Source organism: Homo sapiens, chromosome 8 (genome assembly GCF_000001405.40).
Source record: "Homo sapiens chromosome 8, GRCh38.p14 Primary Assembly".
In the NCBI taxonomy this organism is placed as follows: domain Eukaryota; kingdom Metazoa; phylum Chordata; class Mammalia; order Primates; family Hominidae; genus Homo; species Homo sapiens.
Genome location: NC_000008.11, coordinates 132,683,192 through 132,704,532, shown reverse-complemented (window position 1 = coordinate 132,704,532; position 21,341 = coordinate 132,683,192). Strand labels below are relative to the sequence as shown.

The 21,341-nt window shown below is 41.3% G+C and overlaps 1 protein-coding gene across 5 annotated transcripts in view, besides 1 other annotated feature; it reads left to right on the top strand.

The window, feature by feature from the left end:
* Positions 1,620-21,341, top strand: part of DNAAF11 (dynein axonemal assembly factor 11) — a 132,498-nt gene continuing 112,776 nt past the window's right edge. The window contains exons 1-3 of one of the 5 annotated variants that reach the window (XM_047421658.1): positions 1,620-2,387; positions 16,878-17,071; positions 19,428-19,591. In XM_047421658.1, the coding sequence (XP_047277614.1) occupies positions 19,564-19,591 (28 nt within the window). In that variant the 5' untranslated portion in view covers positions 1,620-2,387; positions 16,878-17,071; positions 19,428-19,563. The remainder of the gene's footprint in view (positions 2,388-16,877; positions 17,072-19,427; positions 19,592-21,341) is intronic. The other 4 variants (XM_047421656.1, XR_007060728.1, XM_011516950.3 and 1 more) reach the window with 4 other exon arrangements.
* Positions 16,607-17,133: an enhancer, noted in NCBI's record as "OCT4-NANOG hESC enhancer chr8:133699646-133700172 (GRCh37/hg19 assembly coordinates)". NCBI's record gives its function as "activates a minimal SCP1, AML or CMV promoter by ChIP-STARR-seq in primed H9 embryonic stem cells {active_cell/tissue: H9 hESC(primed)}" and the evidence as "EXISTENCE:reporter gene assay evidence [ECO:0000049][PMID:30033119]".

Here is a 21,341-nt window from a genome sequence, read left to right as displayed (position 1 = left end):
TAATAACGTTAGACAGGTTGAATAACTTTCCTAAGGGTTTCCGAAGATGATAAGTAAGTGGGAGATCTAGATTTCAAAGCCAAGCCTATCTGACCCACAGCCCTTACTTCCCCTACTACTGATTGCCGCTGAGAAGGTCACATGAGAGGGGCATGGTGCCTTGGTGATCAAAGGCTGTGTGAGTCATTCTCGCCAGAAATGCTAACTCAGGAGAAAGTTTTCCATGAGGTGAAACATTAAATGAAAAGAGTCATCTTTCAAAGACAATGATGACCTTCACCTTTTTTCTTGTATCTCAGGGTTCTCAAATCTAGTTTCTTGGAGAATTGGCATGAATGAGATGCAATATAAAGAGAGGAATTATCTAACATTGTCCGGTCTGCTTTAGAGCCTCTGTTCATAGAGGCTGATGTAGCTACAGAGCTCATAAAAAGAGTTGCTGTTTTGTTTTGGCGCATCTACTATATGCCAGGTGATTTATCTTCTTTGTCTGTAATCATCGCCACCATCCTGCTGAGGACTACCCTTGGTTTGGTCAGCTTCCACAGTATGTAAACCCACATCATCTCTGATGGGATCAGCCAGCCGTCCTTCATCTTGTAACCATGCTGTATGGCCTCCAAGCTTGCCTGGCGTATTCTGTCTTAATTTTCTCTGACTGGGAAGTGTCCCTTCGTTTATAGGATTGGTCATATGACCCACTTATGCAAGGTGGTGGAGAAAGCAGGGAAGTACACGATCCGTGTACTTTGACGAGCTTTAGCAGCTCTGCCACCCACTCTCATTTAAAAGTGAGGAAGGCAAACTTCAAGGAGGATGTATTGCTCACCCTGAGTCATACACTGCAGGTCTCTAAGGCGCCTGTGCCACTCACCTCCACCCCCTCCCCAACACCCTCACTGCAATGCTCCTCCAAGCAGGTATCTACGGTAGTTACTTCAAAACAACTCAGATGCAAAATGATCTGCTTGTGCCGCAGGAGAGGCCAACCACCACCCCCAAAAGGAATCCCACTACTGCAAACACAATGCAGCAGACACAGACACCTGCCAACTTGGCATACTTTGCATCAATGCCACATTTGCCTACCAGGCTTTGATGAAGATCTGATCATGTATTTCAAAAAAAAAATCTACCCTACTGTGCAGGCTGTATCCCCTCCATCTGTCCCATGCAGGGTAAAATCTGCTACAGCTGCAAGCTACACCTGCTAGAGAGCCAGACAGGGTAACTTGGGAGTGGAGGGCAATTTAGCAGGTGGATGCTAAAAGCTGGAAACATTTTGCAAAAATTTTCTTATCCTTTTGTAGCCTTAAAGGAAACTTTTTAAAAAAGAAAATAAGATGCAAAGGGTAAAACAAAGGCTGGTGAATCAGGACTTGTACTTTCAATGCAAAATGAAATTTTGCATTTGCATTGTAGAGAGGGAAGGTAGTCCCTCCTCCAGCCCAGGCCAAATTGAAACAACATACCTTTGTGTGGGTGAAGCTCATCTTCAGGCTGCAAGGGATCTGCTGTGGGGGAGACAGCTGAAATTCACTGCCGGCAGTTCCATTTTATTCTCATTTTCTTTTCTCTTTTTCAGTAAAAGAAAAGGTCAAGAAACACATTCTAGAGCCTTCCGCCTTCCTAATCTTCCTTGTTTCCTCTCTTGCTGTGTCCTTCGAAGAGTAGCATCGCAGTATAGCATGATACTTCAGCTCTGGAGTCAGAGGAGACCTGGGACTAGACTGTGATCCAGCTACTTAACTGCTTTCACTTTGGACAAGCGATTTCACGTTTCTAAGCTTTAATTTCCCAGTCTTTAAAATGAGACTAAAATATTACCTAATTCGTCTAACTTTTATGAGATTAAACAAGTTCATGCAGGCAAAATGCTTAACACTTAAAACAGTGCTAGATCATAAGCTTTTCTGAAGTGGGAGCTGCAATTATTATTATTATCATTATTATTGTATAATAATAGTAGTGGTGACAGTAGTAGTAGTATTTATGACCTCTGGGACAACGGAAATTTTTCAGTTATTAGGTGAGATGATAGAAAGGAGAGACTAACTGTGGGCTGAGGCTTAGCTGCGGCCGTGTTAATCTAGCTGAATAAATACTTCTTCCAATATTTAACACAAGTTAGAATGGTATAAAGGCAAAAATACAGATTTTGAGGTCAGATAGACATATATGTAGACTTAGACACAGACACAGACTCTGGCAGTTCCACCATTTCTAGCTTTGTGATATTGGACCTATTAGTCAACTTCATTGACCCTCACTTTGCTCATTTATAAAACAGACCTAATTTCATGACTTGTGGCCGTCTCTGAAGTGCTTGCTGCAGTGTGGAGTGATCGTATGGCTTTATTGTCATAGAGAAGACCAAATAAGAGAAAGTAAGCTTATATAGTGGCATGAGAAAAGATTGGCTTTAAAAATAACTTCTTTAATTCAATTTTCTTTATTTTGAAAGTGACTCACCATCATTTTATTTAAATAGGAAGGAAAGAATTCAAATAAGCAAAAGAGAAGAAATTACACATCATCCCTCAACTCAAGAATAGCCAAGGCCAACATCTTGATGTTTATCCAAGAAAATTATCTTGGCTGCAAGGTTGATGAGATATGAAAGCAGGCCACCTAGAGAGGGGGACTTTGGGCCTAGGAGCTGCCACCATCTGGGGTCAATCATGTGGCCATTGCTCTGGTGGAAGCAGAGGGCTCTACCAGATGACAGGCTCAACCCCCTGCTATGATTTATTGTAAGGGAAGTGCCATCAGCTGTCACACTGCACCAGTGTCATCCCACTTCCCATCCCCAACCTGGGGGCAAGATGGCCACACAATAAGTTAGTTTTAAAGACACTTTATCCAAAGGGAAGCAGGACATAAACTAAAATCTAGTGCATTCGGTGTGTCTTCCCACCTTCCTTTTCTTCCTCCCTTATTTTTTGTTTCAACTCTCAGGCCTTTGTTAGTTCTGGGGTCCATGCAGCTCAGGAGCTCACAGTCAAGATGTAGACAACTCCAGGTAGCCCTTCCCACCTCTGCCTGAATAACAGAAAGGCAGACAGAAAAGCTTCCCAGGCATCCTCTGTACTTCACTGCACAGTGCTCAGCACACTGGTCTAAGTCCAGTGTCCATCTTTCCTCATGACTACAAGCTCCAGGAGGGAAAAGATCATTTCCTCTGTGGTCATTACTCTATTCCCAGTGCCTCTGGGGAGGCACTCAGTAACTGTTGATCAGACTGCTGCTATTGAAAGAATATATGAGCCGGGTGGTATTTGTAGTGAACATTTGTTGTCCTGTTCTGTATCCCAGTGCTATGTTTTGAATGTTTATCCCCTCCAAAACTCATGTTAAAATGTAATTGCCATTGTAACAGTGCTAAGAGGTGGGACCCTTAAAAAAGGTGATTAGGCCATGAGGGCTCCCTCTTCATAGACAAGGTTGGTGCCATTATAAAAGAGCAAGCCCCCTCTTGTTCATTCTTGCCCTTCCATCTTCCCCCATGGATACCACAGCAAGAAAGTTCTTGCAAGATACCAACCCCTCGATCTTGAACTTCTCACATTTCAGAACTGTGAGCCGATAAATTTCTGTTCATTTTAAATTATCAAGTATGTGGTATTCTGTCATGGCAGCATAAAAATGAGGAAGACACTCTATCACTTCGTTTTCTATTCTGATTCCTATAACACCCTTTTCTTTGGGCAATCACTCCTCCTCAGTCCATACATTTTGGTAAGGCTACTGATCTCAAACCCAGACCCCAAACCTTGGGGACGATGGATGTATAAGACACAAGCTTGGGCAATCAGATTCTGTTTCTATTTCTTTTTTTACAGACAGGATCTCCCTCTGTCACCTAGGCTGGAGTGCAAGTGCAGAGGCACAATCACAGTTCATTGCAGCCTAGAACCCTTGGGCTCAAGCAATCCTCCTGCCTCAGCCTCCCAAGTAGCTGGGACTACAGGTATACACCACTGCATCTGGCTAATTTTTTTTTTTTTTTGTAGAGGTGGGGGTCTTACTTTTTTCCCCAGGCTGGTCTTCAACTCCTGGCCACAAGTAATGGTACCACTTCAGCCTCCCAAAACGTTGGGATTACACATGTTATTCATTAACATGAACTGCTGCACCCAGCTCTCAATCAGACTCTTTTTCTCCCAGAGCCAGCTGGTGATGAGAGGAAGGCCATGACCAAGTCCAGGGGATTGAGGGCTGCACTCATTCCTGCTGGCTTCTCCCAAAACCTGGTTGACTGGGTCTGTCAAGGAGTCTCTGAGGAACCTCACTGCCTTTCCCAACAATCTCTCCTTTTAAGTTAGTCAGAACACATTTATCTTGCTTGCTACAAAAAAGAAAATAATATATATCTAATATGCTCTTTTTGCCTTTAAGAAGTTTAATTGAGGTGAAATTCATATGGCATAACATTTACCACTTCAAGGTATACAATTCAGCGTCATTTAGTACAGTTGCAGTGTTGTGAACCACAACACTGTGGTTCCAGAACACAATCTATCAAGTTCCAAGACATTTTTGTAACCTGAAGAGAAAATCCTGTGCTCATTAAGCAGTCACTCTCCATTCTGCCCTTCCCTGGCCCCTGGCAGCCACTAGTCTTCTGTCTATGGATTTATTTTGTCTATTTCATATAACTGGAATCATATGATATGTGACCTATTGCATTTGGTTTGTTTCACTTAACATAATGTTTGTATGTTTATCCGACTCACATCTTAGCATGTATTAGCACTTCTTTCCTTTCCATGGCTGAATAATAGTCCACTGTTTGGATATAACACATTTTGTTTATTCATTCATCCACTGGTGGATGTTTGGGTTATTACCACTTTTGGGGCTATTGTAAATGGTTGTGAAGTGCTCTTGAAAAAAAAAGAGTGAGTGAGTGAGTTTGGCAGGTAAGGAAAATGGGAAAGGATATTTGAAGGAAAGGGAGCAACTTATTCCAGGGCAGAGAAAGTTTTCTACCTGGCCTTCCCTCTTTTCACTCTTCCAGGCTGCAGTCTCCACACAGCAATTACAGTGATCTCTCTAAAGCTGACATCAGGCCACTTGGCTTCCTTGTTAATTACCCTCAATCCCACCTTACATTTCCTCTTGCTTAGTACATCACAGCGCCTAGCACTGCTCCCCTTTCTGTTCTTATAACATCACCAAGCTCAGCTCTACCTGAAGGCTTTGGCACTTGTAGGACACTCAGGCAGAAACATTCTTCTTTCTGAACTTCTCAGGGCCAACTTCCTCTCATCATGCAAATACCTCCCCCACAGAGAAGATGTCCCTAGCATCTTAGGGATGTTCTCCCTATTCAGGCACGCCACCCCTGGTCACACAACTATCTCATTATCAGAAATTATCATTCTTTTTTTTTTTTCTTTTTGAGACGGAGTTTCACTCTGTTGCCCAGGCTGGAGTGCAGTGGTGTGATCTCAGCTCACTGTAACTTCTGCCTCCTGGACTCAAGCAATTCTTCTGCCTCAGCTTCCCAAATAGCTGAGATTACAGGCATCTGCCATGGCGCCCGGCTAATTTTTTTTGTGTGTGTGTGTGTGTATATATATATATATATATGTATACATATATATATTTTAAGTAGAAACAGCGTTCGCCATGTTCACCAGGCTGGCCTTGAACTCCTGACTTCAGGTGATCAGCCCGCCTCGGCCTCCCAAGTGCTGGGATTACAGGTGTGCACCATCGTGCCCAGTCAGAAATTATCATTCTTATTCATTTGTGGTGTGTGATTTTTGTTGGTTTGGTTTGGTTCTTGGTTCCTCTCTGTTCTGCCCTATTTTTTTCACCAGAACAGAAGCTCCAGAAATAAGTAATTGCTTAAGGAGTGGATGGCTGGATATGACCCATTAGTGAACTGGCAAGGAATATATTGTGTCTGGTGCAGAGAAAGAGAGCTTCAGGTGGCATGGCATGTGGTGGAAATATTGACTGTGCCCAGATTATTCAAGATGCCCTCTTTATACCAGGCACATTGTAATTTAGCTTTAGAAATTCTCTGGTGTGATGATTTCACAGTACCAAAGGGAACTGAATGCTTGTCTATTATTTATGTTTCAGAGTCAGCATAGAAACCCTGGAAGAGAGTTGCCCCTGAGAAGCAGCTTTGCAAGGGGTGGCAGCTGGCTGGGAGGGGTCAGAAGATCTATGTTCTCTTGTAGTGCTGTGTGGTTTTGGGAAAATCATCTAACCTCTCTGAAATTCAGGTTTCTCGTTAGCACAAATGAAGAGTATATGAGGATAAGAGCTTTCCATGGTCTATTACGAAGTGTGGGATAGGTTTGTGCATACTTACTCTAGTCTCATGCTCAGAACACTCTGCCTTATGTTGTGCTGCGAGGTTGATAGGAATTATAGTTCCCATTTTACAGGTGAGGGTCCAAGAGGGTGAGTCACTTGCTTGAGGTCAATTGTCAACCACTGGAGGAGTCAAGGTGAGGTCTGCCTCCAAGTCCAGGATGTTTTCCACTTGTGCTTCCCTGCCTATCTCACAGGGGTGTTGTGATAATTAAAGACAAGTTATAAATACATACATTTTATTAATATTTTCTGTCCCATTCTTATTGTATCACTGGCCCTAGAAGTAAGATTGAGGTCCTCCTTGCTTCTCATTGCACCTACTGGATGATTATCCCCTCTTCTCCCCTAAAACCTCCAGTTTTGAAGCTCATGACACCAGACTGCACTATCTGCTGCTGCTTCTACGTGCAAATACTAACTCCTCATTTCTTGAAGACTTTAGCATCTCTCTCATTGTCAATCTCTCTAGTACGATTCCAGTCATTCTTGGTGAGCTCCACATACACATTGATGTCTCCTCTCATACTCTGGCCCATCAGTTTCTTTATTTTTATTTTTGGATTTTTTTTTTTTCTTTTTGAGATGGGGTCTCGCTCTGTCTCCCAGGCTGGGGTGCAGTGGCAAAATCTCAGCTCACTGCAACCTCTTCCTCCCAAGTTCAAGTGATTCTCCTTCCTCAGCCTCCCAAGCAGCGGGGATTACAGGTGCATGCCACCACACCCAGCTAATTTTTGTAATTTTAGTAGAGATGGGGTTTTGCCATCTTGGCTAGGCTGGTCTCAAACTCCTGACCTCAAGTGATCTGCCCACCTCGGCCTCCCAAAGTGCTGGGATTATTTTGGATATTTTTTAAAAACTGCTTTATTGAGTTATGATTTATACAAGGTAACATTCAGTTGTTTCAAGTATACAATTTAATGATTTTTAGTTTTACAGTTATGCAGGCATCACTGCAGTCCAACTTTAGAAAACTTATATCACCCCCAAAAAGATCCCTCTGCCATTTGCAGTCACTTGTCATTCCCATCCTTCAGCCCCAGGCTACTAACCACTAATCTACTAACAGTCTATAAAATTGCCTATTCTGGACATTTCATGTAAATGGAATCATGCAATATGCGGTCTTTGTGTTTTTAACTTTTTTAACTTTTATTTTAGGCTCAGGGGTACATGTGCAGGTTTGTTACATAGGTAAACTCATGTCATGTCATGGGGCTTTGTTGTACAGATTATTTTGTGTCCAGGTACTAAGCCTAGTACCCAACAGTTATTTTTTCTGCTCCTCTCCCTCCTCCCACCCTCTACCCTCAAGTGGCCTCAGTGTCTGCTGTTCCCCTCATTGGGTCCATGCGTTCTCATCATTTAGTTCCCACTTATCAGTGAGAACATGTGTTATTTGGTGTTCTGTTTCTGCATTCATTTGCTAAGAATAATGGCCTCCAGCTCCATTCAAGTTCTTGCAAAATACATGATCTCATTCTTTTTTATGGCTGCATAGTATTCCATGGTGTATATGCACCACATTTTCTTTACCCAATCTTGTCACTGATTTCATGTGGCATAATGTTTTCAAGGCATACCCATGCTGCAACATGAATCTCTACTTCATTACTTTTTATAGTAGAATAGTATTCTACTGTGTAAATATATCACATTTGTTTATCCATTCACCAATTGATGGACATTTTGGCTGTTTCTACCCTTTGGTTATGAAAAATGCTGCTATGAAATTCACATACATGACTTTATGAGATACCTAGGAATGAAATTGCTGGGTCATATGGTCAATTTGTGCTTAACTTAAAAAAAAATGCCAACTGCTTTTCAAAGTGAGTGTACTATTATGTATTCTCAGCCACAGCGTGTGATTGTTCCAGTTTCTCCACATCCTCTCCAATGCTTCATAATATCTATCTTTTCTATTCTAGCCAACTCTGAGTGGATGTGAAGTAGTATATTATTGTGGTTTTGATTTGTATTTCCCTGATGGATAATGATGTTGATTATCTTTTCATGTGCATTTTTCCTGGCAACCCACTTTCTCTGCTTCTTTCCTGCTTATAACTTTGTATCCTAACCCCAAGTTAGGCATATGCACTCACAGTCAAGCCTGGACCTTGTCATTCCCATAACTGCACCTCCCCCATGCCATCAATATCGAACATTCCACTTTTAACCATCACCATCTTTCCAGCTCATTCTTTCTCCCAATAATTTTTCAATGACTGGGATCAAATTCCACTGGTCCTGACACCTTTTCACTTATCCTCAATCATATATTCCTTTGTGTTCTTATTCAGCTTAGATTCCATGTGCTGTCAATAAAATCATTCCCTTGTATCTCTCTTCATTCATTGTACTTTCCGGGTTAAACTCTAATTCTGGTTGAATCGAATACTCTAACTATTATTCAGCTTCACCCACATGCTAAACATGCCTTGTGAAAAAAACACACATCCGGGCCTTTCTTTGAATTCATAACCACAGCCTCATGGTGTGTTTGGTGGTGCCTCGCAATCATCTTACTAAGTCCTATTAATTCACTCTCCCATTCCCCGGGTGATTATTTCATACTTATCCTCTCTCCTCAAAGCTTCAGTACCTCCTCGCCCAGTCTCATTCTTAGATGATGTCCTTCGTTTCTATTTTACTGAGAAAATAGAAACAATTATGAAGATACAGCTAGCTATTGCCACCTCATATATCCCACCTACGGGCATCTGTTCCTACTCTGCCTTCCTTCCTGTTTCTATAGAAGGAAAGTTCTTGCTGCTGTCTAAGGCCAATTTACCACTCATGCATTGCAGCCCACCCTCTCTTATCTACTTATAAAAATTGCTCCAGGAATTGTCCCCTCCCTCCTACAGCAGCAGCATGCCAGCGTGTTGTAATAATACCTGTCTTAAATAAGACCTCTTTTGATTCTTCGTTGCTTAGAACAATTCCCCTCCTCCATTCCTCTGCTTACAGTAGCAGCAAAATTCCTTGGTAGATTTGAGTTCTGTGCTTATTTGTCTCCATTTCTTCTCTTTCAAGTCTTTCTCAAACCCACCCCAATTAGGATTTGACTCCTACCGTCCATGCAAGTAGCCCATGTTAAAGACGTCAACAACCTTCAATGTTGTTAAATCCAATGGTCAGTTCTTAGTCCACATGTTGACTTGACCTAGCAGTATTTGAAGTAATGACTCCCTCCTTCTTAAAGCACTTTTCCCACTTGGCTTCTCAATTTACCAAACTCATTTTATATCTCTTTTGGTAATTCTTCCACATGTTTTCAGCATTTAAATTTTGGAGTATGCCAGACCTCTTCTCTGCCTAAACTCACTTCTAGAGTGGTGCCATCCATACTCACGATTGTAAACACCTCTGTAAACCATGACTCCTCCAACTAGATCTCCAGCCTGGACCTCTGTTTCTCATGCATATGCCAAAGTTAATTCTCAAAATTTCCATCTGGATGGCTAAGACATATCTCAAACTTGACATGTCCAAAATAGAGTTTGTAGTTCCCACTTCCTCCAAATCTGTCCCTCTACTGTCTTCACTATCTTAGTTAATGGCAGTGGCATCATTCAATTTTACAAATTAAAAATTTAGGATTCATCTTTGCCCTGTATTAGTTTGCTAGGGTTGCTGTAACAAAGTATTATAAACTGAGTGGCTTAAACAACAAAGCTGTATTTTCTCACAGTTACGGAGGCTAGAAGTCTGAGATCAAGGTGTTGGCAGGGTTGGTTTCTTCTGAGGCCTCCCCTCTTGGCTTGTGGATGGCCATCTTCTCCCTGCATCTTCACATCCCTTATGTGTCTGTGTCTGTGTCCAATTTTTCCCCTTCTTATGAGGACACCAGTCATATTGGATTAGGCCCACACTGATGATCTTACCTTAATTTCATTAACTCTGTACAAATTTGGGTGGGAGGACACAACTGAGTCCACAACAATTCCTTTCTTTCTCTTACAACCTATATCCACTCTAATTTCTTTTCTATATTAATTTCCATATCCACATCTGATGCACAGGATCCTTCAGTTGGGTCCACCTTGAAAATATAGCTTACCCCTGCTTACCAACTTCAAGGTTATTATCCCCTCTTGTTTAATTTACTGCAATTGCCTCTTCAGCTGATGTCATTGCTTCTGATCTTTGCTCCTAGAGCATACTGTCAACATAGTAGCCACAGTGATCCCGTTATAATAAAAATCAGAGTATAACATTCCTTTGCTCAAATCTTCCAATTGCTCCCATGTCCCTCAAGGAAAAGCCAAAGTTCTCAAAGCCTTCAAGTCTCCACATGCTGTGGCTCCAGCTCCATCTCTGTCCTCATCCAATACTCACTTAAGCAGGTGGGTCACCATGCCCTTCCCTGGGCATGTTTGAGCACTCTCCTCATCAGGCATTGCCATTTGCTGCTCCCCTGTCTGCAACTGTCTCCCAAGACATCCATACTGTCCATTCTCAAATGTCACCTTCTCCTAAATAAGGAAGCAACCCTCCCAGCAATCACATCTCCTTCCTCTGCTTGCTTTCCCCCACCCCAATAGCACTTAGTAGTACCTGACATGCCATGAAATTACCTGTTTATTAGTTGGCTATATCTTCCTGTATTAATATAAGCTTCTTGAGGGCAGGCACTCTTTTTTGTTCTAGTTGTCTTACTGCTGTATCTCCAACACCAAGAACAGTGCCCAGTACCTAGTATAACTATGTAATATACACACGCACACACACACACACACACACACTCACATACATTACATTTACATAAAACATGTTTTTATATACTTACATACATTCGTATTGTGGATATACATAAATATGCACATACACATGTATGTATTCTATATTTGTTGAATAAAGCAATGGCATCTGTCCATATGGAAAGAATGAAACAATAGTAGTGAAATGCTTTCTCCCTCCATTTTTCCGTTGTCTTTTGTTCCTGTGTGCATATGCTCACTCTGAATCTGTGGCTTTTTTTCATCTCCCATGTCTTGCTTTCTCTCTGTCCCTGGGTCCCCTTCTCCATTGCCCTTCATTCTCCTTCCTGGTTCTGCAGTCATCAGAGGGAGGGCACTTCCAGCCTGCTGCTGCAGCCACCTGCATTCTTCGTCCCCACCTGGCTCACTCACCAGCATGATGGACTTGGAGTCACCAGGTTGTGATGTGGTTCTGTCCTAGAGTTGTTGATGTGTCCATTTTCCATTGATGGAAGCTGCTCCTTATAGATACATGCATTTGTAGATGAGAAGAAATCAGGAATGCTTTTTTGGTTCTGAGCTATAATAAGCTCATGTGTTGTAATCAGCTTAGCATGTTTCTATTCCTTCTGCCATCATACACGATTGGTTCAAATGGACACTTTCCTCCCCTCAGGGAAACAGGGAGGAAAGGAAAGTCAGGAATGAGTAATGCTTGCCCTTGGCAAGGTGGAGGTTGCGAATGGACCTGGGAACATAGGTAGCTGGGAATTGGGAGAGGGTCAGGTTGGAGATAGAAGACCTGCACAGGGTGAAGAAGTGGTTCAAGGGTTTGAGCACCTTCACAAGGCACTGGGTCAGAGCTGGATTTTGGCTGCCTAATGACTAGGCTATATCAATACCTACATGTCAGAAATACCACTTGTTCTGCGTGCATTTGTCTTCACCACTGACTCCTTACTCCTGGATCAAAATCTCTCAGTGCTAACAATTTAAGAGCTGTGCCTGGCTGCATGCAGTTCTGCAGGTTGGCCAGCTTGGAAGCTCATCAGGCTGATGGACACTCTAAAATGATCTGATCCAACCTCCTCTTTTATTGATGAGGAAACTCAAGCCCAGCAGGGGAATTGAATGACTAACGTCCCTGGGAGAGTTAGGCATATTTATGATACAAATTGTTTTTTAAAAGGAAATTAGTTCATTTCCATGACTTGGGTGGTCATCCTTGAGTTCTCTCTTTACCTTAACCTCCAATCAAATAATCAGGAAGCCCTGTTGGCTCTCTACCCCCCACCCCAGTTTATACAACAGTCACTACTTGTCACTATTTTCTCTGTCACTACTTCCGTAAAACAGTATCATTAGCCTCCAAACTGGTCTCCCTACTTCTACTCTTACTTTCTCACCCAGCCCCCTACTACTCTCTTTTTCATATAGCAGCCAGAAGAGTCTCTTTCAAAGTAAATTATATTACATCACTCTTCTACTTAGACCATGGGTTTGTTTCTCCATGTTCCAAAAAATGATCTCCAAACATTTTGATATGGATCATAGGCGAGGCGGCTGCATCTCCCACGTGGTCTGCTCTGTAGTCTCATCTAAAACCACTCATCCCCCTTGTTCATAATCCTCCAGCCACATGGGCCTTCCTCTGGTTAGGCTTGTGTCCCCACCCAAATCTCACCTTGAATTGTAATCCCCAGGTGTTTAGGGAGAGACCTGGTGGGAAGTGACTGGATGATGGGGGTGGTTTCCCCCATGCTGTTCTCATGATAATGAGTGAATTCTCACCAGATCTGATGGTTTCATAAATGGTAGTTTATTTAAAAAAAAGTCTCTCTCTCACCTGCTGCCATGTAAGACTGTGCCTGCTTCCCCTTCTACCATGATTGTAAGTTTCCTGAGGCCTCCCCAGCCATGCAGAACTGTGAATCAGTGAAACTTTTTTCTGTATAAATTGCCGAGTCTCAGGTATGTCTTTTTAGCAGTGTGAGAACCCATCTTGGTTTCCAATACCATTCTCCAATGAAAGAAACCAAGGATCCTTGGAGAATAACTGATTCTAGGACTGGAGATATGAAACATACAAGATGAGCCTGGGCTGTCTTGTAGTGCCAGAAATTAAGGAAGTGATCAAAACAAAACAAATAACCAAACTCATAATGACAGGTATAGGTCAAAATGACCTAGAAACCAACTGAAAGAGTTTCTAATGGTCAAAGATGAACTAATTTGAACAATAAATTAAAATAATAGTGGATTCTAACCCAAAGTATAAAGTAAATATCCATGAGTCTATACTGATATAAATAAGTAATGAAATAACTAAGTTAATGGAGAAGAATAAACTCTTCTCCTATGGAGAAGAAGTTCAAATAATCTACAGATACTACACACTGAGGAGTGCAGCACAACTTCCCACTCCTTAAGTGTGGGCTACACATAGTGACTTTCTTCCAAAGAATATAGAATGGAAAAGAGGCAGGGAGGAGGGAGGTGGAAAGAGTTACTTTACAGAGAAGAAATCTGACAAATACTACTTTAGCCAGGTGATCAAGGCCAACGTAAGCAGTGACACATCATGTGGCCAATACCCGTGATGTTATGAAAATGGCACTTTATCTCTGCAGTCTTCCTCTCAGAAACCCATTAACCAGTTTAATCACAAGAAACACAGCAGTCAATCCCAACTGAAGGACATTCTACAAAATACTTAACCAGTACTTTGTAAAACTGGCAAATAAATGATCAAAAACAAGAGGAGCCTGAGAAACTGTCATGGCGAAGAGGAGCCTAAGGAGATGGACTAAATGAAATGTGGTAACCTGGGTTGGATCCTGAAATACAAAACTGACATTAGGTAATGGCTAAGGAAATCTAAATAAAATGTGGAGTTTATTTCATAATAATGTATCAACATTGATTATTTGATTGTAACAAATATAGTATGCTAATTGTATCAGTCCATTTTTACACTGCTATAAAGATACTTCCTGAGACTGGGTAATTTATAAACAAAGGAAGTTTAATTGACTCACTGTTCGGCAAGGGTAGGGAGACCTCAGGAAACTTACAATCGTGGTGGAAGGGGAAGCAGACACTTTCTTCACAAGGCAGCAGGAGAGAGAAGAGTGAAGAACTTCCAAACACTTATAAAACCATCAGATCTCATGAGAACTCAGTATCACGAGAACAGCATGGGGGAAACTGCCCCATGATCCAATCAACTCCCTTCCTCGACATGTGGGGATTACAAATCAAGATGAGATTTGCATGGGGACATAGAGTCAAACCATATCACCAATGTAAGATTTTAATAACAGAGGAAACAGGATACCTATATAATGGGACCTCTCTGCACTATCTTTGCAATTTTTCTAAAAATCTCAAACTGAAAATCTAAAAATTAAAATTTAATTAAAAATAATGCAGGTAACATAACTCAAACTAATGCATATTAAGCAGTTTTTAAAAATATGAGTCAAGTGTGTGGTTCATGCCTGTAATCCCAGCCCTTTGGGAGGCTGAAGCAGAAAGATCACTTTAGGCCAGGAATTTGAAAACAGACTGGTCAACACAGTGAGACTCCATCTCTACAAAAAGGAAAAAAAATATTCACAGGATGCAATGGTGCGAGCCTATAGTCCCAGCTACTTGGGAGGCTGAGGCAAAGGATTGCTTGAATAAGGCTATAGTGAACCATGACTGTGCCACTGCACTTCAGCCTGGGTGGCAGAGTGAGACACTGTCTCTCTCTCTGTATATATATACACATACACACACACACACACACACACGTACATACACACACACATATATGTATATGAGTCAAATCACTATTTCTTGTCACAGAGAATGGTCATAGTATATTTTAATTTTTTAAAGAAGCAAATTTTAAATTAATGTATATAGTATATTCCTATTGTAATAAAAACAATAAAAAGAGTGTGGAAGATACACAAGAAACAATACAGTTCATTTCATTTCAGGGAATGACACTGAATTGCTGAGGTGATATTATTAACTTTTTCCTTGTGTATCTTTGTATTTTTGACATGATATAATAAGCATATATCAATTTAAATTGGTTAAAGTCAATAAACAAAGAAAGCAAAACCCCAGATGATTCTGATAATCAGGTTTGGGCACCAAAACTCTAGTTCCCCCCATCTCTATGATTTCAAGTACAAATAAGGGCAGCTGACATTCGTAAGTACTTCATAGCTTCTAAAACCCGTCAATAGAAATACTCTAATGTCCAACCAGCTCCTAAAAATAAGTTTTATTATCATCCCATTTTACAAAAGAGGCTACTCAAGGACTTGCTCTACAACTCATCAGTTGGAGAACAAGGAGTAACTGTAGATTTTGTGACATGTGCCATCTTTCCTCTCTAATCACATCACCCAGGCACAAATACCTCCTAGTAGCCTATACAACAGAAAATAAAGAACAATTTCTGAGACAGATTCAAAATCTTCTAGAAAAAACAGGCAATGCTATTTTAAATTATCTTGAATTAAACTCCTAAGGAAACTGGCAAAACACTCTTAGTTTCCTTACATGAATTAGAATAAATATCCACCAGTCTTTTAAACGGTATTTTTAACGTAAGTGATTCTGAGTATATTAATAAGGGATCTGTCAGTTGCAAGTTAGTGACATCCAACTCAAACTAATTTAAGGGAAGGAACATTAAGATCTCATATATACAAAAAGTCCAAGAGTGACTTTCAGGTACAGCTTGATCCAGATGTGCACACCATGTCCTCAGGGATCTCTCTCCACCTTTTTGTTCTTCTCTCCCATATGTTGGCTTTATTCTCATGCAGGCTTCTCTACTTCAGTGGTCAGAGAGCTGCCAACAACCTCAGGAGAAAATAAGTGTCCCTAAGAGTTCTAGCAATAGTCTCAGGTTTGACCCTCATTGGTTGTCATTATTTGAGTTGTTGTCCCAGCTTGGGTCATGTGTTCACCCGTGAACCAAATACTGTCATTAAAGAAAGGCAGAATTGTTATTGGCCAGGCCTTAGAGAGGGTATTTTTCTGCAGCCTGGAGTGGGGTCAGCCATACAAACCCTCATGGAGAGTAGAGGGAAAGCTCCTTCGTGAAAATTCAGGGTTCTGTTACCAGAAGACAGAATGGATGCCAGGTAGGCAGAGCCAAGATATGTCCTCAATACTGAGTGTAAAATATTCCCCACAGGGAACCAGATGTCTAGATTACTGGGTTGGGTAATATCTAAAGTGTGAAAGAGAAATTGCTGTGGTTTGAATGTGTCTCCCAAAGTGGCTGTGTTGGAAACTTAATCCTCAATGCAACGGTGTTGAGAGCCGGGACATTTATGAGGTGATCAGGTCATGAGGGCTCTATGTATTAATGCTGTTATCGCAGCATTTGAACCAGATTTGAACCAAAACTTTATTATTTGCATGATATTAAGAATTAGAAAAAAAGAATTACAAATATGAGTGGTAATGGAGTAGATATCAGGATGTTAAATTTTTATATTGCTTCATTGTTTACATGAAGTAACTTAGTATCCTAACTTAGCGGTAATTTAATGTCCTATATGATTTGTATCTAGCTTAAATACTCTCAAGAAAGCTAAGAAAACCATGCAGTTCCTGGGGGACTGCTTCACAGTTGCTGTGTAATGGGCTCTGTGGTAAATTACCATACAGTTAATGCAGGTCAATATCAAAGCCAAAAGCAGCATAATTTAGTGATTGAAAGCATGAGCTTTGGAGTCAGGCAGATTTGAGTTCAGGCCCTGAGCTCTTACCTTGGGCAAGTCACTTATCCCTTAAACTTCCATTTCCTCATTTGCAAAACAGAAACAACAATGCCAACCACACGATGGGTGAGGATTAAACAGGAGAATGCACAGGAAGCTTGCAGCACCTGGTGAGAACTCAACGAAGGTGTGGGTCCGCCTTCTGATGACGGAACCTGTTACAGCTGTCTGTCTGAAGCGATGAGATGAGGCAACCCTTGCTCTGGGAAGGCAGAGTCACCTGGCATCATCAAGGTATAAGAAAAAAGACTCTCTGGAGAGCAGGATAATTATGACTTCATTATTCTGCTAGAATGTAAGCTTTCAAAGGGCAGAGATCTTTTTCTGTGTTATACATTGATGCCCCCAAGTGCTTAGAAGAGTGCCTGGCACAAAGTGGCTGTTTGGAAATTATATGTTGAATGAATCATTTCCATTCTGATATTTGATCACTCATGTAAGCAGGCACTAAATGGAAATAACTGTAAATATATATAGCCAAAATCTAAATATATTGTCAGTATATCATCCTTTGTAATTTTTATTAGCTTTCCCTTCTTGATATCTGCTTTGCAACAGTTAGACTACAACTGGGAGTAGACTCCTTCATGTATTCTTTTATTTAATTATTCATTCAGCAAATGTTTCCTGGTTCATTGAGTGTCTTCTATGGGTGAGGCACTGTGCATGGTGCTGGGGAAGTGAAAATGGAAAAAGCAAAGTTTTCTGTCATCATGAAGTTCACAGTTCAGCAGAGACAGACTAGTGATGGGATAGTTAATAAGCCAAATGTGATCAATGCTACATATAATAGTAGCAATACAGGAGCCAGTGGGAGGACAGAGGCAGGCATCAAAAACTTAACATGCTCCAAATCTTTATTTACACACCTTCAAATCCATTCCTTCTCCATTCTTCCCCTTCAATCTTCATTTCAGGAAACACAGTCAGCAAGAAAGTAGGAGGCTTCATTGATTCCTCCTCTTTTCTCAAAGTAAGTTCCAGGGTCTCTTCTCTCAAAACTGTCCTAAACATCCCCACTTCCCTCTATCACCACTGCTATCCTCCTAGTCCGGCTGACTCATGATCTACCTGGGTGTCTGCTGCAGAAGCTTCTTTCTTGCTCTCACTCCTCCCAGCCTTTCCACTCATACCCACCACCATAGCATAATCCAGTTTCCGCAATGCAGTAGTGTTGGAATACTGCACTCCACAATCCAGTATTGTGGAAATACTGCATTGTGTAGTAAAACAATATTTTAAAGATGTGAATGAGAACAAATCATCTCTAAACCATGTAAAGATGTCCCATCCCATTTGGAATGACACCTTGTCTCCTTACAAACATGATTATTTGCTTCCTGACCAACCCTTCCATTCCTCCCTGCTCCCCTGCCTCACCATGTTGGGCTCCTTTTTCTGTTCTTTGAGCAAACCAGGCTCTCCCAGTCTAATAATTTTTTGCATTTTTCTCTCTCTGGGAAAAGTCTTCCTTTGTTCTTCACATAACTGTTTCCTTCTCCTTCTCAGGTCTCACTCCAATTGTCATCCGTTCAGAGATGACATTTGATGACCTTCTTTGACTACCCAAATAAGCTCTTCACTCTCGTTCTATCATCACTCCACTTTTCTTTCATAGCCCATATCATCATCTTCAGTCTTTTCTTGTGGTATTTATTTGTTGACTCGTTCATTGTATGTTCACTCTGAATGAGTATAGAAATTTCAGGATGATCAAAATCTTTTCAATCTTGGCTACCACTTTATTCCCAGCCCCCAGGGACTCAATACTATTTGCTGGGGAAAAAAAAGGGTCATTGGATTAATGGGACCCTTATGCCCACCCAAATTAGAAATCTTTACACTAACTACACCATGTTCTTGAAACACAATTATTTGGACACACACACATATTCAAGTAGGTGAGATACAGCGCAGGTGGAAAATTAGATTAAAAGTAGAGCTCAGAATAAATATTGTCAGTCTTCTTCATTAAGGCAATGAAAGCCTTGAAAATACGATTCTCTCTAAGCTGGAAGGGGCAAGTGTGAACTGTAGAAGATTCTGGCTAAGACCTCTCTCTGCTTTTGGACAAATGGTGCCTAACAGAGCTGTGTGACAGAAAAAGGTGAGATCATTTTTAGCAGATGCCAGCCAACGTGAGAAGGGTTGACTGATATGACAAAGTCTTCTCACAAAAAACTCAAATCAAAGAAGACGACTGACAGTGAAGTAAACATTTTAAAACTAGAGTAATTAGGAATATATTAGCAATTAAAATAAACTCATTATCATTAGCAAAATTGGCAGTTACTGGCAATTTCCCCAGGGGCCTCATTTCAAGTTTATCTTGGTTGATTATATTAAAAAGGATTAATGTGTTCAGAGATATGGTTTTAATTTTTGTGGATTTCATGTACTCACATCCCTATTCATAATTAGTTGAACTTAATGGTTCTGAAATAATAATCTTGTGGATACCACGTTTTCTATGAGCTGGACCCAGGTGTTCTAACACTAAAACTGAATAAAGCTATTGTTTACTCACTTCTCAGAGAAAATTAAATTAGTGGATATGTTTCTTAGTTTTTTTCTGTTATAATTTCTTTAGGCCTTTAGCACCTGCTACCACTTGTCTGCTACGAAGTACCAGAAAATGACAAAAACCTCGGACTTGAAGCAAATAAACTAAGTAAAAACTCTGAACACCACCCTTCTCGGATTAATAGGGTCTTCATTGTGTGGAAATGTGTGTAATGGATGAGACACCACATGGTAAGAGGGAAAGGATTGAACTCTCCATTTCCTTCACCCTTTGGTTCTTCTCTTCTCACAATGGGGGTGCTACTTTTTAGCATCATAGGACATCAATGTTTTATCACTTAGCATTCTTTGTTGTTAGCAATGAAAATGACCCTGGCAACAGAATCAAAAGGATTAGAAGAATACTGGGGAGCTCACATGAATTATGGAAATCTGAGTAGGTTTGTAGCAAAGAATTTGTCCTTGACCAAAGAGAAAGACTGGCCTTTGTCATCAGTTTCTAGGAGGCAATCTCTAGTGTCTTTATTTATCTGGGGACATTGGGTCACAGTGGTTAGTCCAACAATGTGATCTAGGGCAGGTGCTAAGCAGACTCATGTAGTCTTAGGTTGGGGATTTTCCATGCCAGAAAGACCAATCATGTAACTTAGTGTGGGGGGTGAGGGCTTTGGATCACATGATATCAATCAACCAAGAGATTGAGATTAACTACATGGACTATCAATCAGTCAATCAATTATACCTATGTGATGAAACCCCAGTAAAAAGTCTGGACAATGAAACTCAGGTGAGCTCTCTTGGTTGGCAGTGCTCCATACATGTGATCAAACATTGGTGCTAGGAGAGTAATGTGGACTCTATCCCATATATCTCTTCATTTGGCTGATTTAATCTACATCCTTTTTCTTTAATAAACTGTAGCTGTTTCTGTAACAACTTCCAGGAAGTTCTGTGAGTTCATCTAGTGAACTGATGAAACTGAGGGTGGCTTTTCAAAACCCCTGAAACTGCAGTTGGTGTCAGAAGTGAGGGAAGTGTTGTATGGAGAAAGTGCCCTCTAAAACTTTGTAGTTGGTCTTAAAAATTTGCTGTAGCTGCACCAAAGCTTGCAATAGGCAAAAACAGGGGGTGCCATGGAGTGCCAAGAAGGTAGAATCAAGAGGCATATCAACCAGGTAAAACAGTCTGGCCAGGATGCCATGGGGATGACTCCACTAATCTTTCTGTCTACAGGTGTTCCCTAAAGAGAAGACTTACATGACCTCACCATATGAGCAAAGTAAGGTCATGTATTCTCACACTGGCCATTCTTCCAGGGGTGGGAGGAAAATAGGAGGGAGGGGTCACTTGAGCTTCTCCAGCAGAAAACTGGCACCTGGACTTGCCCTCCAAAGAGATCCAGGAGAAAAGATGCTGGGTACCAAACATGGCAAATTTCTACTTCAAAAGTAACACATGAGAAACTATCAATAGCAGCAAGATTTCATTTTGTGTTAGAGATACTCTATGCAGAAGAACCTGAAGGCTTGGTCTCCTCCCACTGAGGCTGTGTAGGGGCCAGAAACAACAGCTGCCTTCACCCCCAGGGGCACTGGCAGGATGGAGCTGGGAGGCAAAGGAGAAGGCTAAACTGAGGGGCAAATAAGAAAACAGGCCAGAAGACCAAAAAGGAAGAGGGAGGGCATGTTATTCCAGGTGCCCATACAAGAGCAGCTGACCTGGTGGGAGGCTGTGCTGGCTGGGTCGTTCTGGTCACATTGAGGACGTGCCTCAATGGGCTCAGAGGGGGCCAAAGGGAGTCTTTAGCTCAATGATTTTCCAACCCTAATTTGTGGAGTATCTCATGAGCTGGGTTCATGTGTTCCACCTTCAACATCAAACAAAATCCAATACTTCTCTTTTCCCAGGTCTACATAGACAAGTCATTGATTAGATTGTCTCAGTTCTCCTCAGGTTGGTCCTCATGGTCATTGACCCCTGC